The 16,722-nt window shown below is 42.7% G+C and overlaps 1 long non-coding RNA gene across 1 annotated transcript; it reads right to left on the bottom strand.

Moving 5' to 3' along the window:
- Positions 1 to 9,765: 9,765 nt before the first annotated feature.
- PSG8-AS1 (PSG8 antisense RNA 1) lies at positions 9,766 to 14,781 on the bottom strand. Its single transcript, NR_036584.1, has 4 exons — positions 14,731 to 14,781; positions 12,869 to 13,831; positions 11,300 to 11,712; positions 9,766 to 10,211 (listed from the first exon to the last, which is right to left on the bottom strand). It is a non-coding gene; the product is annotated as a PSG8 antisense RNA 1 (long non-coding RNA).
- Positions 14,782 to 16,722: the final 1,941 nt, after the last annotated feature.

Below are 16,722 nucleotides of genomic sequence, written 5' to 3'. Positions count from 1 at the left end.
TATAGACAGAAAAACTATGTTGAAAAGCAGAACTGTAGTACACCTGTTACCAGATTGAACCACTGTTCATTATCTTTGAGTATTTATAATCCACTGGTAGACTGGACTGGACCCTGAATTCTTTTAGTTCTTCCAATTCAATTTTCTCCAATGAAATAATTAAGAACAAGAGTGGCTCTGTTCCTGAAGCCATATAAGCTGGAGATGGACAACTCAATGTAAATTTCATGAGAAAACTCTCATGTCTGAGGTGTGGGCCGCTAAGAACTCACCAAATGTTCAACACCATAACTTAGAGACACTCAAACTGCAAACCAAGACAACAAGTTGATGACTTTACACTGTGGACAGTTTTCTCAAGATGTCAGAACAAGACTATCAATCATGATGGGAATCTTACCTCTCTTAATTTGTCCTTGCTTATGCCTGTCGCCTTTGCTTCCCAGAATAATGCTGTACTTAGGATTTCACAAGAAGTAGCTTCTGAGAGTAAGTTAACAGTGTCAGATATATCATGTCAACCACACTTTTATTTTATAAGATGGAGTTTCGCTCTTGTTGCCCATGCTGGAGTGCAATGGCACATTCTTGGGTCACTGCAACCTCCACCTCCTGGGTTCAAGTGATTCTCCTGCTTCAGCCTCCTGAGTAGCTGGGATTACAGGCATGCATGACCACACCCAGCTAATTTTGTATTTTCAGTAGAGACGGGGTTTCTCCATGTTGGTCAGGCTGGTCTTGAACTCCCGACCTCAGGGGACCCACATGCCTCAGCCTCCCAAAATGCTGGGATTACAGGCGTGAGCCACCGCACCTGGCCCACACATTTTTACATACCAAGAGATCCTTTAGTCCACCCAAAGGCTGACATTAGCTGCATCTGTAACACAATGTTTTCCTCAAATGTATGGAGTTTTTTTTAGGCTTCCACTTCTATACTTGCCTATTCTCGCTCCCTGTTTTAATTTAACATAGACATGCAATGCTAGATAATAGAATTGCTCTCTATCAGCTGAACAGAGGGGAGCCTGTGCAGTTTCTGACGCTTCTTGTTGCACATGGATAAATACATTGGGTATTACAGACTCAGTTGTAAAAATCATTAAATGTGCTGCCTAGTTAAAATGACTAGACTCTTCTGGCTTCTTCTTTGATCTATCCTATTGTAGTTGGTTTGCATCTTGCCTAAGGTGCATATTCCAAACTCTTGATATTTTCCTCCTGATAGTCATACTGGTAGTCTCCCTCGTGTGGTGCAATCTACAGATGTTTTCACTGGTGTGCAGCCATTCTTCAAATATCAAATGGTTTCTCTTGTGCTGGAATTACAAAAACTCAAAGAAATGTGTTAATTATTGGCGAGGCACAGTGGCTCACATCTGTAATCCCAGAACTTTGGGAGGCCAAGGCAGGCAGATCACAAGGTCAGGAGTTCGAGATCAGCCTGGTCAATATGGTGAAACCCTGTCTCTACTAAAAATACAAAAATTAGCCGGGCATGGTGGCGCGCACCTGTAGTCCTGTAGGGAGAAGCCCTGAAACTATTGCTACAGAACAAATGATGAAATGCTCCTGATTATTGTAAATATAAAAGAGCATGCAGGATTGTGTAAATACAATGCCAGGTTGGGCTGCCAGAATGAGCCTACAGCACATGATGTGCTTCTGTTACATGGATGGGAGATAGAATTATGAGTTTAGAACATAGATTACAAATGCAACCTGATTGGAATACTTCTGATTTTTGTATAACTCCATTCCAACATAATGAGTCTGTTCACAACTGGGAATCAGTAAAATGCCATTTACAAGGAAGTGAAGATAATTTAAGTTTAGACTTAAGCAAGCTAAAAGAACAGATTTTTGAAGCTTCTCAAGCACACTTAACTGCTTTACCCAGTGCTGAAGTTTTAGACAGTATCTCTGAGGGGTTATCTAATCTCAACCCCATTCAATAGGTAAAATCTTTGGGAGGATCCACTATCGTTAATTTTGTTCTGTGTATAATTTGTGCTATTGGTTTATTGTTCATGTGTAAAATTGGAAAAAAATATTCTTCAATCCAATCGTGATCAGTGCCAAGCTATGATTGCTATGGTTCATTTAAATTGGAGAAAAGGGGGAGATGTAGGGAGACCCCCTGAAACTATTGCTATGGAATAAAAGATGAAATGCTCCTGATTATTGTAAATACGAAATTGCATGCAGGATTGTGTAAAGACAAATGCCAGGTTGGACTGCCAGAATGAGCCAACAGCACGTGATGTGCTTCCCCCTGCAGAGAGCCTATGAACGGACATGCAGTCAGGGAGGTTTCACATTACCAAGATTCCTATCCCAGAAAAGCAGATGTCCATAGCTCTGGGAATGGAATGCGACCCTTGTGGAGAGCCTATAAATGGCCCTAAATCTCTCACTAACCTACCCCCACTCTCACTAAACTTAATAATAAATGCTGGTATATCCAGTGCATTGGCAGCATCGCAGGACCAGAAGGCGGTGACCCCTCTGGACCCAGCTTTCACTATCTTGTGTGTGTCTTTTATTTCTCAACCTGCCGATCTGCCTGAGAACAAAGAAAGAGCCCCATTGCATTGCAGGCTGCAGGCCAGATCCCGCAATATAGTCCCAGCTACTTGGGATGCTGAGGCATCTGTAGAGGGAGAGCTGCCCCAAATCATAAATCACAAATAAAAGCCAATTACATCTATAACTAAATTAGTTATAATTTTGTCTTATCACACATGTTCACAGGAAGCAATGGCCAGTGGAGTCTCTCAGACTGCATCATTCTCACCCTGAGCCTCCTGCCTTGCTCTTTCACTTACAAGGACCCTTATGATGAAACTGGGAGCCACCCAGATAAGCCAGAATAAGCTTTCCTTCTCAAGATACTCAACTTCATCACCTTTGAACAGTGTTTTTGCCAAGAAAAGTAAATGCATGTGTTCCAAGAGTTAGGATGTAGATTTTTTTTTTTTTTTTTTTTTTTGAGACAGAGTTTCACTCATGTTGCCCTGGCTGGAGTGCAGTGGGACAATCTAGGCTCACTGCAATCTCCGCCTCCCAGGTTCAAATGATTCTCCTGCCTCAGCCTCCCAAGTAGCTGGCATTACAGGCATGCGCCCCCACGCCCAGCTAATTTTTGCATTTTTAGTAGAAACGGGGTTTCACCATGTCGGCCAGGCTGGTCTCGAACTCCTGACCTCGTGATCCACCCGTATCAGCCTCCCAAAGTGCTGGGATGACAGGCGTGAGCCCCTGCATCCAGCCCGGATGTGGACATGTTTAAGAGGCCATTATTCTGCCTCATAAGGGTCACTTTCATAAACATCACCCACAACAAAAATGTTTTGCCTTCCTTCCATGTCTCACTTTTCTGTCGGCACAAACCACAGTGAAACACACTAGCTCTGCTATGAAGTGGCTGGATGACCCTGTGCCACTCATTTGACCTCCCTCAGCCTCTTTCCTCATCTGCAGTGTAAGGCTGACTCTTACTGCATCAGAAAATGACAGTGGAAGAGTAAATTAACATGTGTAAGACATTAGTCACAGAGCCTGGTACCTGATGAGCCCTTGGTAAACATTCCTTTCAGTCCTTTCCTTTCACCTTCCCATTTTTCTTGCCCGCACCCATCTTCTCCTTCAACTCCTTTCTCTTCAGTAACTTACTCAGTCTAACCTGCCAATTAAAGAAGCCACACTAACCATTCTCTCATGACTCTGCTGGAATGTTCTTGTGATGCGGTCTGCTATCCACTCGAGGCAATAGGTATTATTTATATGGAGAGGTCTGTTTGCAACAAGAAATCCTTTTTCTGTTCACACAAAATTTATACACAATTTCTCTTAACTTACACGTACCAGTCTCAATTCTACCCTGTTATTTCATACACGTACTTTATTATTTTATTCTTCAGTCTTTCTCCTTATACCTTAAAAATTAGGATAGTACTAAAACAAAAATAATGGCCTGGGCCAGAAAAGGGGATTCCTTTAGCAAGATGAATGCTTTCCTTTTTCAAGATGAATGAATGCTATGTGCCAGGCAGCCCTGAAGCCCATTTCTGGGTTTGGCTTACATCAAAGCCATTTGACTCTAGGACACATTTTTAGATTCCCAGGAGATAATGATTGTCACGGAAGACACACCCACTCTGAGTATTCCTACTGTTGGGTAAAGGAATGTTTACAGAATGTTGTGCATTCTGTTTACTCCTCCTAAATTCTTCCACTCCTGGAAGTTAAGCGTCCCCACTAATCAGCTTCATCTCCAGCTGGCCTGCCTGGACTCTGACCAGAAAATATCTCCCCACTCTGGATGGCCAGGGTGGCACCTTTGTCTATTCCCATAATTATAATAGCTCACACTGATGCAGCATTCACTATGTACCAGGCACTATCCTGAGAGCTTTCCAGTTAACTACGGTCCTCACCAAAAAATCCCAAGTACCACAATCCCCATTTTTACAGATTAAAAAAAAAAAAAAAACTGAGGCAGAGAAGTATGTACCCACTGTCACCTAACTCCATAATTCAACCTCATCCTCCACTTCATCTGATAAGAGGACACTCTAAGATTTACAAGGTCTCCTGAATGACATCCTTCTTCAAAAATGATTTTTGTCCCATTCACTTTCAGGATTTGACAAACAGCCAGCATTTTGTTTTCTATCTCACCCTTCACTTATGCACCTGTTCCATAAAACTACACTCACAACTGCACAGCCCTGCATAAAAGCTAGCTTTTAGAAACCTCAATCTCTTTTGGAAAAAACAAAGGCCAGCTACCAAGTCTCACAAAACGTCATTGTTTATTCTATTGTCAACTATTTGCATGGCCATTCTCTGGACATAAACAAGTGCACTAGAAACAGAAAATGTAATGAGAAGAAAGTAGGAGGAGGGTGAGTTTCTAGATAGACACACAGGGAAAAGATTTTGAATCCAGAAAAATTCATACAATGCACCCAGTGTGTGTGGCTTTGAGCAATGACAGCTCTACCTGCCACTTTCCACTGCTGTTGGCCTCTTACTTCCTTCTCAACCTGCCCCTCCTGGTCTTGCTTTCTTAGACCTATACAAACAACCTGGGAACTGGGGTCAGATCAGAGCACACAGCACTGAGTGGTAGGGTTGGGAAAGACAGAAAAGGAAGACAAGTGTTTGGCTCATGAAGATATGACTCATCTAGGTACACATCACCTAGGCAGGCAATAGATTACTGAAGGGCTTTGCAGGACTCCTGGTGGTTATCCAGAATGACTGACTGAGGCAAGAGTCTTGACCAGTTGAGTTTTATTGAGCCAGAGCCTGATAGTGCACCCTGGGAATACATGAGTTGCAAAAAACCTCTGTGGTTTGTGTTTTCTCTGAAGAGGTTTCAGGAGGCTTAGTATTTATACATTTGATTAAAGGGGAGAAGGCAGGTTGGAAGAGATGGAGTGGGCAGAGAAACAATTGATCTAATCTTGTCTTTCTTCTTTGCCTCAGAAAATAAATATTATCAGAATGAGAGTTAAAATACTTCGGTTTTAGGAGCTGGATTTGGATTGCTCACTTAAAGTTACAATTGGCATGTCCTTCTTTTACAAAGAAATATACATCTTGAAAGGTTTTGAAGCCAAGAAAAAACAATTTGTTCAGGGAATCATCTGGAGATGCCCGAGATCTTTGGCTTTCCTGTTTACCCCGTTCCTTTCCTTTCCTTTTTTTTTTTTTTTTTCTTCTTTTAGAGACACAACCTTGCTCTGTCACCAAGACTGGAGTGTACTCACTGCAGCCTTGAACTCCTGGGCTGAAGCAGTCCTCCCACCTTAGCCTCCCAAGTATCTGAGACTATAGGCATGCACCACTGCACCTGGCTAATTTGATTTGTTTTATGTTTTGTAGAGACGTGGTCTCCCTTTGTAGCTCAGGCTGGTCTTAAACTCCTGGTTTCAAGTGATCCTCCTGCCTTAGAGTCTCAAACTGCTGGGATTACAGGCCTCTGCCAGCACACCTGGCCCCCCAATTCTTCAAAAGCTTTCAGATAAAGCATCATAGAAGACATGACTTTGTGACTGTATGTTTCATCTCATCCTACATCACTAGGAAGGCTCATTCTTAAGAAGTCATGCCCCATGGAAAAGGGGATGAAGACAAATCAGAAAAGGGCAAAGGGAAGTCACAGCAAAAAAGGGACAGTATAATCCTGGAACCTTATTAAAGTCACACAACAGCTGCTTCAATTAGAGCAATTCGTTTGGCAAACATCACTCTAACCCTATAGACTAGGTTTTCTAGAGTTTCTGAAGCATCTTCCAATTGCAATGGCAATGTGACACATTTTTCTGAATTGCAGTCTGAATACAGTGTTCATGTGTACCTTTTGTGTAGTCCACACATCAGCAGGCACAAAGGTTGTTTATATATAAGTTGCTATGATTTATCCAGAAGTTTACATAAGTCGTCGAGTTTCAGCTTGCAAGTTTTAATCTATCCATCTGACAAAAGGCTAATATCCAGAATCTACAAGAAACTTAAACAAATATACAAGAAAAAAAACAAATAAGCCAATCAAAAATGGGTGAAGCAGATGAACAGATACTTCTCAAAATAAGACATTTATGTGAGCAACAAACATAGGAAAAAAAGCTCATCATCATTGGTCATTAGAGAAATGCAAATCAAAACCACAGTGAGATACCATCTCATGCCAGTTAGAATGGTGATCATTATAAGGTCAGGAAACAACAGATGCTAGAGAGGATGTGGAGAAATAGGAATGCTTTTACACCGTTCGTGGGAGTGTAAATTAGTTCAACCATTGTGAAAGACAGTGTGGCGATTCCTCAAGGATCTAGAACAAGAAATATCATTTGACCCAGTAATCCCATTACTGGGTATATACCCAAAGGATTATAGATCATTCTACCATAAAGACACATGCACACATATGTTTATTGTGGCACTATTCACAATAGCAAAGACTTGGAACCAACCCAAATGCCTATCAATGATAGACTGGATAAAGAAAATGTGGTACATATACACCATGGAATTCAATACAGGCATAAAAAGGGATGAGTTCATATCTTTGCAGGGACATGGATGAAGCTGGAAACCACCATTCTCAGCAAACTAACACAGGAACAGAAAACCAAACACCGCATGTTCTCACTCAAAAGTGGGAGTTGAACAATGAGAACACATGGACACAGGGAGGGGAATATCACACACTGGGGCCTGTTGAGGGGTGGGGGACTAGGGGAGGGATAGCATTAGGAGAAATACCTAAGGTAGATGATGGGTTAATGGGTGCAGCAAAACACCATGACACATGTATACCTATGTAACAAACCTGCAGGTTCTGCACATGTATCCCAGAACTTAAAAGTGTAATTAAAAAAAGATAAAAATTTAAAAAGCACAGTTTTAATTTATAATATACCAAAATGGAAGAAAAATGGAAGAAAATTCTGAAACCATTAGTTTTGAAATTTGTAGCCAGGAAAAAATTTAGGATTCAGTCCAAATTGTAGGTAAATAACAAAATTTAAAAAAAATGAACAGATCTAAAATGTAATAACCATTTTTCTGTTGTTTCCTTCTGAAAAATAATTTTCCCCCTCCTGTCTCCCATTTTTATGAAATAGAAATCATATGGGACCAATATATTTCCAAAATAAGTTTTAGTCTTATACCTGGATTGTTTACATAAAGTGCAGCAAGAATGTAGATTCAAGGCCTCTATGAATACATAAATTTTATATATATATATATATATAAATATAAGAATATATATATTCTATCATGTAGAATGGCACTAAACTATATTAATGGCAGCAAATCTGTACAAGTCTGTAGCAGCCTCAATTCTTGCTTCTTCAGAAGAAAGAATTCAACTAAGTGTCATAAGGCAGAAGAAGAGACTTAGGCAAATTTTAGAGCAGGAGTGAAAGTTTATTTAAAAGCTTTAGAGCAGAAATTAAAGAAAGTAAAGCACACTTAAAACAGGGCCAAACAGGTGATGAGATTTCAAGTGTGTGGTTTGACCTTTGACTTAGGCTTTTGTATGTTGGCATAATTCTGGGGTCTGCATCTCTTCTCCCCTGATTCTTCCCTTAAAGTGGGCTGTCTGCATGTGCAGTGGCCCACCAGCACTTAAGAAGGGAGCCTGTGTAGTGTGTTTCCTGGAGTAAAGTTGGAAAACAGAGACCAAAATAAAAGCTATGTATGGAAATAAAATTGGTCTCCTTATAAAATCCTGTTATAAATTTCTATCATTTTTGTGTTACCTTGGCATCTACTTTTAATCTTCCTTGAACACACCCAAACTCCTTCTCTCTGTGTGTGTGTGTGTGTGTGTGTGTGTGTTTGTGTGTGCTTTGAGATGTAAATTTACTACCTACTTTCTCTAAAACTCAGCAAGGGCTTCCTCAGATAAATGTTAACTTTTTCTATTTACAAAAGCACAACTTAAATCCAGCTATTTTTTTTAACAGTGAGTTTTATGTGTTCATGCATAAAGTTTTAAAATCAAAAATCTGAAGTATTTCTGTCTCCCTCTATCTTTATGTGCACAAGTATATGTTCTATGCTGTATCACATATCACATATGTATATGTCCATACCTATGTTTATATATTGTTTATACATGGTATCAAATTAATGTAAAAATAAATGGGTACTCATCAATTAAGTAAATAATACCAAATGCTTTTCAACACATGTGATTTTAGTAATCTTCAATAAGGGAAGAACACCTCAAATGAGCATGCATACCCACCTGCAGCCTCCTTAAAAAAAAATTATCAGGCCAGGCACGGTGGCTCACACTTGTAGTCCCAGCACTTTGGGAGGCCAAGACGGGTGGATCACAAGGTCAGGAGATCAAGACCATCCTGGCTAACATGGTGAAACCCTGTCTCTACTAAAAATACAAAAAAAATTAGCCGGGCCTGGTGGCAGGCGCCTGTAGTCCCAGCTACTCGGGAGGCTGAGGCAGGAGAATGGCGTGAATCCAGGAGGCGAAGGTTGCAATGAGCCCAGATCGCACCACTGCACTCCAGCCTGGGTGACGGAACAAGACTCCATCTCAGAAAAAAAAAAAAAAAATTATCAGCCAAGAATTTTGTATCCAGCAAAACTAAAGTTCATAAATAAAGGAAAGATAACAGTCTTTTTCAGACAAACAAATGCTCAGAGAATTTGCCACTACCAAGCCAGCACTACAATAACTGCTAAAAGGAGCTCCAAATCTTGAAGCAAGTCCTGGATACACATCAAAACAGAACCTCTTTGAGCATGAATCTCACAGGACGTATAAAACACAAATACAATAAATAAATGAATAAAACCAAGGTATTCAGGCAACAAATAGCAGGATGAATGGAACAGTACCTCACATCTCAATACTAACATTGAATGTAAGTGGCCTAAATGCTCCACTTAAAAGACACAGAATTGCAGAATTGATAATAGTTCACCAAGCAAGTATCTGCTGCCCTCAAGAGACTCCCCTAACCATAAAGTGTCACATGAACTTAAGGTAAAAGGGTAGAAAAAGACACCCCATGCAAATGGCCACAAAAGTGAGCAGGAGTAACTATTCTTATATCAAAAAAACTAACTTTAAAGCAACAGCAGTTAAAAAAGACAAAGAGGGACATTACATAATAATGGAACAGGGAGTGGCATTTGATGCTTGGTGTCATCCTAACCCCCACAGTCCCTGTAGTAGTTTGCTAGGGCTGCCATGACAAAATACTGCAGAGGAGTAGATAAGCAACAGGAGTTTATTGTATCACAGTTCTAGAAGCTAGAAGTCCATGAACTTTCCTCCTCTGTAAGAGGTTACAGTGCTTCCCATGAGCTCATATATATGGCAGAGGGAGATACAGAAGGAGCAGGTGCCACGGGAGTCTGATTCACCCATTGGGTCACTGGTGCCCTGGGACCTGCTTGAGCCTGACCCCATACACAGCTCTCCCTGGGATGCTGGAGGCTGCTGTGCACGCCCCAGGTAACTCAGATGTCACCAGGACACGATGTGCCACTCAGGTCCTAAAGCCCTTGGTGTCCTATGGTCAGGTATTCCAATTCCACTAAGCCCAGGGATAAGCCAAGAGCTGCTTCCTGAATGAAGAGTTACCTGCAGGAGGAGGCGTGGTCTTTCTCTAGAACGTCCAGTTCTGCACGGTGAATCTTTTGGAGCTTGTGAAAGCCTGCATAAAATAATACACTGCATTTGGAACATAGATGCTCTTACATTCATTAATTTCTTTTTTTTTTTTTTTTTGGTTGAGATGGAGTTTCACTCTGTCATCCAGGATGGAGTGCAGTGGTGCCATCTTGGCTCACTGCAACCTCCACCTCCTGGGTTCAAGCGATTCTCCTGCCTCAGCCTCCCAAGTAGCTGGGATTACAGGTGCCTGCCACGATGCCTGGGTAATTTTTGTATTTTTAGTAGAGACGGGGTTTCACCATATTGGCCAGGCTGGTCTCAAACTCCTAACCTCAAGCGATCTGCCCGTCTAGGCCTCCCAAAGTGCTGGAATTAGAGGTGTGAGCCACTGCTCCCAGCCTCATTAATTTATGAGTAGGCTCTTCCAGGAGTTATTGAGAAGAATATTTTACAATTCTAAGTGGAATATTTTAGCAGGAAGGACCGTGGTTTATTTCTACGATAATTCTGTTGTGGCTTAAACAGTTTGTTCTTTTATAATTTGGGGTATTCCCTCTACCACCTATTGTTTACTTTTGACCTTTGATATTTACCCTATGCAAATTCATCAACCCCTGATTTTACTTCTTCAAAGCCAGCATGAGGCTAGTCAAGCCTGGTTTCCTCTCACAGGAAGTAAGGCTTTTGCCCCATGGTATTTGTGTAGCCAGGTTACAGGAATTAAAAATCTATTGCAAGTGACAGTAATTAAAAAAAAAATCAAGTGCGGGCTACTCTGGAAGAAGAAACATTGGAATGTAGATTTTATTTGTTTATTTGCAGAGAGATGAACCAGCTTATACTCATTTGATTTCCACATTATTCATGGAGAGTCTAAAATCAATTTCTGGGAACAAAAAACCAACTTGAAAAGCTGTTTAAATTCTGTTAGTGGGACTTCCAAAGGTACAAGGGTTAAGAAAAAGAGAGGAGAAAAGAGAAAAGACGGGCAGGGAGAAATGAAAAAGTGACACCAATGTGAGCCAGACAATGGAGATGGAGAAAAAGCAGTCGAGAGGGACAGAGGGCACGGTGGAGGTCTGCAGGATCTGAAGATCCGCCTGTCTTCTCCGGACGCTCACCTCTTACCTGATCCCAGAAACAGACTGAGCTTTAACTCTGACCACACACTCCTCAGGGTGACGGAGAGTGGGGCCACCTGCACCCTGCCAGCCTTCCACAGCCCCTCTGCAAGGGCTCTGCTCCACACTCTACACGTGCTCTGAGGCCCCTTATTGCAACATATGACTTCCTCGGGCTTCCATTCCCTCCACCGCCTCTTTCTTCTCGCTCAAGCATCTTCAATGGTCTGGATACGTTTCTTTGCTTCCATTTGTCACCTTCCACTCACTCGTCCTTGTCCACTTCCATCTTCCCCTTTCTCTAACATTGCTTGTACTGAGATCAGCAACATCCTCCTTTATTGCTAAACCTGCCAGGAACTCAGAGGTTAGTTTTGCATCCTTTGACACTGAGGGCCACTTCTTTTCCTGGAATAATCTCTGTGAGGCAAATATACATTTTTAAAAACTTTGTTTAGCCTGTTGCAAAAAGATAAAGAGACTCTCCTCTTTTCACTCAGAGCATTTTCTATTCATTCATTTATTCATTCATTCATTCATTGACAGAGTCTCACTCTGTCACCCAGGCTGGAGTGCAGTGCTGCCATCTAAGCTTACTGCAGCCTTAACATCCTGGGCTCAGGTGATCCTCCCTCCTTAGCCTCCTGAGTAGCTGGGACTACACGCACACCCCACCATGTCCAGCAAATTTATTATTATTGTTGTGTGTGTGGAGATAGGATCTTGCTGTGTTGCCTAGGCTGGACTTTGAGATCATTTTTTTTAGAAGAGGTGTAATTGAAAACTCTTTCTCTATCCCTTGAAGATGTATGCAAAGCTTTCTAAAGCATACATAAGTATCTTGCCTGCCTCACAACCCAGAATTCTCCTCCTCAAGGCCATAGGAGACCTCTCTTTGAAAGGCAGGCATCCGGGCAGAAAGCACCCCTGTCTCCCAGTTTCTGTGAGAAGGAAGGAACCTCAGTTCTGGGGGCATCTCACTCCCAGTTGCAAAACTACCTCCTGTCATAGATGAGAGGTTTCTTTTTCCTGTGGATAAAGCCAATTAACCACACAGAGAATCAACACAGTTACTGGGTGAATTTAGGATGAACTACGTGTGACAAATGGTGCCGTTGAGTCCTCTCAACTGGGAACTAGTCACCATCTATCTGGAGACCATGTGTGTAACGGGTTGCACCTGCTTGGCTGGATACAAAGGTGGGATTTCTTTCTGTCTTTGTCATCTCTTAGCAGATTGCATCACATTTTGGCTTAATGCTTACTCAATCATAAGACAAGTTTCTTTTACTTCTATGGATGTGAGGGGGGTTTCTGGGCTGAGCAGAAATTTGTTTCTTAATTATATTTTTCCAGCAACCCCCACCCAACCTACCCCACCTTCTCTGAAGCTACTTCCCCCAGGCTTTAAAGGAGGCTGCTCCCCGGGGTTCCTCCCGGGCCCTGCCTCTCCTGGTTCATCTGATCTCCCACCCTCGAGGCATCGTAGATTCCCTCCCTTCCATGTGCTGATGCCTCTCGGATCTCTAACTCTAGGCAGAAACCGGCTTCTCAGTTCCTCAGCTCAAATACCCACCTTGGGACGGGCTTCTGCACCGGGACATCCCGCCAGGAACTCTCCCGGTGGAACACAGTCCATGTTCTCTGGCTGCCCTGCAGTTTTTAAATGCCACCAGTACACATGGGGAATGTTCTGCCTTCGCAAGGAGGAAGCTGGAAAGTTCATTTTCCCAGCACTCCTTGCAGGAGGGACACCGACACGGGTCCAGGCTTTCCCCATCAGGTGCTCCCGTGAAAGACTCAGGGTCCCGAACAGCACCAGGAAGCAGAGGGTGCATGACACCGATTTGTTATTGTTTTTGTTTTAATTTTTTGAGCAGGGATGGGGGACCGAAGCTTCTGGTGTAGAAGCTTCTGGACTCCAGCGCCAGCCTCAGCAGTGCAGGGTGCAGGGTGTGGTTTCTGCCTCCTGCAGTAGCCAGAAGATCTTGACCGGAGCTGTCCTGTGCCTGTGGTTTGTCCTTGCCCTGGGCCCTGTGGCCTCCAAGCCGGATTCATGAGGGCCCTTGGAGCTTGGTGACCTTCCTACCCTCTCCTTTAACCGGTCCTTTTCTGATTCTTGCTGGAGTGAGCTGGGCGGTTTTCTCTGAATCTGCTCCTGGGGTTCTCCCTTAGGGAAGGGCACCCTAGGCACCCAACCCCTCAGCCGGATGCCCAGCAGATGTTATCATGCTTCCACTTTCCTTGCCCCTTTATGTCCTGTGGTCACTCCTTTCTGTCCCTTCCATGTCCTACATCTCTCTCTGCTGTGTCCTGTCTTCTGCACCCTGTGGCCTCCACCCAAGTTTGCATCACCACCCATTCCTCCTTGAATGAATACAGTTGTCTCCCCGGGTCTCCCTGTCTCCATAGGGGCCAGCAGCATCCGAGCCAGCTTCTTCTCTGTGGCAGAGATGATCTTTTTCAGGCCTCCTCCGGCCATGGCCCTTTCCTGCTCCTCTTTCCAGAGCTCCCAAGTCCCCGGGATGCACTCCAGCTGCTAAGAGAGGCCTCGAAGGTTAGGCGATGTGGCCTCCACAGTCCTCCTGAGCAGCCACCCCACCTACCCTCATCCTTCAGCCCCATTACATTTCCTTTTTCTGTTTGATTTTTTGAATAGGTGTTGTATTTAGATGGCTCAGTAATTTCCATCTGTGTGTATCTGTATATGTGTGCAGGCATGAAGAGCCTGTGTCTCATCCCTGTTCCCTATGCACCCAGGTCCTAGCCCCACGCCAGCCCCAGTGGCCAGCTGTGCTGTTCATGACCTGCAAAGCTTTCTACAGCTGTTTTATGCAAAACAATAGGAATTATTGTAAATTATTGTGAAATATATATAACATAGAATTCACCATTTTAACCATTTTTTTCCTTTCTTTTTTTTCTGTCTTTTTTTTTTTTTTTTTTGAGAAGGGTTCCTCTTCTGTCACCCAGGCTGGAATGCAATGGCATGATCTCAGCTCACTGCAAACTTCACCTCCCGGGTTCAACCACTTCTCCTGCTTCAGCCTCCTGAGTAGCTGGGACTACAGGTGCATGCCACCATGCCCAGCTAATTTTTTGTATTTTTAGTAGAGCGGAGATTTCATCATGTTAGCCAGGATGGTCTCAATCTCCTGACCTCATGATCTGCCCACCTCGACCTCCCAAAGTGCTGGGATTAGACGCAAGCCACCTCGCTCGGCCCATTTTAACCACTTTTAAGTGTACATCCAGTGGCAGGAAGTACATTTAGGTTGTTGTTCAACCACCACCACTGTCCATCCCCACCCAGAACTTTTTCATATTCCCCAACTGGAATTCTGTACCCATTAAACACCAACTCCTCTTTCCCCCTCCCTCCAGCCGCTGACAACCACCTTTTCATTTTCTGCCTATGCATTTCATGACGTTACGCACCTCTGTTAAGTGGAATCATGTAGTAGTTGTCTTTTTGAGTCTGATTATTTCACTTAGCAGAAAGAACTCAAGGCTTAATCATGTTGAAGCACACATCAGAATCACCCTTCTTGTTACAGCTGAATCCCATTTGTTTGTACGCATAGACCACTTTTTGTTTATTCATTCATGGATGGATGGACACTGGGCTTGTTTCCAACTTTTAGCTATTGTGAATAATGCTGCTATGAACAAAGACATGCAAATATCTGCTGGGGCCCCTGCTTTCCGTTCTTTTTGGAATACACCAGAAGCCGAATTGCTGCATCTTGTGGTAAGTCTATGATTAATTTTTTGAGAAATGACCACAGTTGTTGTGCCATATTACAAACCCACAAACACTACACAAGCATTCCAATTCCTCCTCGCCAACACTTTTCTTTTCTGTTTTCCTTTTTTTTTTTTTATTGGGAACAACCATCGTAAAGGATGTAAGGTGGTATCCCACTGTAGTTGTGATTTTTATTTTCCTAATGATTAGTGATGTTGAGCATCTTTTCATGTGTTTATTGGCCATTTGTAAATTAATTTTACATTTCCTCCTTTGTAATGCAAGAGGTAGCACACCGTGCATTGTTCTGCTTCTTGTTTTTCTCACTGTGCAGTGTATCTTGGAAACCTTTCCCGGTGCACAGACAGAAGGATACCTCATTCATTGCCACAGCTGCACAGTATCCATGATGTGGATCATGGCTCATGACCCAGTTCCCTACGGATAAACGTCAAGGTCGTTCCTGGTCTGTGGCCATCACCAACACTGCCGCGACTAGTCTAGAATGGGTGCCATTTCATGCATTTGCAATTCCCAGAAGTACACTGGTTAGTCAGCAGGTGAGTGCATTGGTGAGAGGATGTGACTCCAATCTCAGGAAATATGGAAACCTTCTTCCCTTTCTAGCTGCAGCACCCCTAGTCTGGACAGCATATGGAAAGCACCCATGATCATTTGAAAATCACAAAATAACTCTAAATTTCTGCACAAGTAGGTCATCTACCACTTGTCATTCTAATCCCACACTAGGCACTTTAAGAACATGCACCCCTGGGCTTTTGCTACACTCTTTTCTTATGCTGGTACCCACCTTGTGGTGACTGAGGGTTCTCTTAATATCCCCAAGTCTGAGGAAACTGAGGCACAATTCGATTATCCACTTATGAAGTGGTGAATCTGTGGATTAAACTTATAAGACATATCCACTTCACACTCCAGAAAACTTCATCATTCCCAACATTATTGTCTTCCACCATTGGGAAAGAAATATTTTCCTTGGTAATTAGAGGAGAAAAGGTGTTTGGTGTTTCATTGTCACTTTCCTGGTGTGGAAAGTATCTACTTGCGGGTCTTTCCTAGGGCCAGCGAGTCCTAACATGTTTGAACATCTACCCATGCTATTTAAGGCAGCACACCAAACACATTCCTGCTTCGACTGCAGTATCTGTTTCATCAAGAAGAGTATTTTCCTTAAATAAGTTTGAGGTGCCTACTACTTGGGGAAATACTAAGCCTTTGGTATGCTTCTGCTCATCTAGGCATGAGACGGCTCCATCATTACTTTGGTCTTCAGTTTTCTGAATCTGCTTCTGGAAAACACTGCAAAATGTCATTTTTGAGAACTGCTGCTTTGCAAATACTTTTCATGCCTATGTGATGTGCTGTTATTCTCTCTCATTTCCTTGCTAACGTACAGTCATGCATATGAAGCAAGTTATGAGCCAGTTAAGACTGGATCTGAGTCAACTAGATTTGCATGCATTTTCAGCCACAGTACAGGTTCCTAAAAGTCATCACATGTCTAGTCTCAAAGTACTTATAGAATAGCATCTGATTATTATTAAGTAGATTTTTTAAGGCCTCTCAAGGATAAAGATTTGAGGTGTTATATCCATTGCTTTCCTCCCTCACACTGTTTTTGACTTTTAATTCTTCCCTTTCTCCACTTTAATTTCTAGTCT

This window comes from Homo sapiens, chromosome 19, assembly GCF_000001405.40.
Source record: "Homo sapiens chromosome 19, GRCh38.p14 Primary Assembly".
Classification (NCBI taxonomy): Eukaryota; Metazoa; Chordata; class Mammalia; order Primates; family Hominidae; genus Homo; species Homo sapiens.
This window is presented reverse-complemented; position numbering and strand designations above follow the sequence as displayed.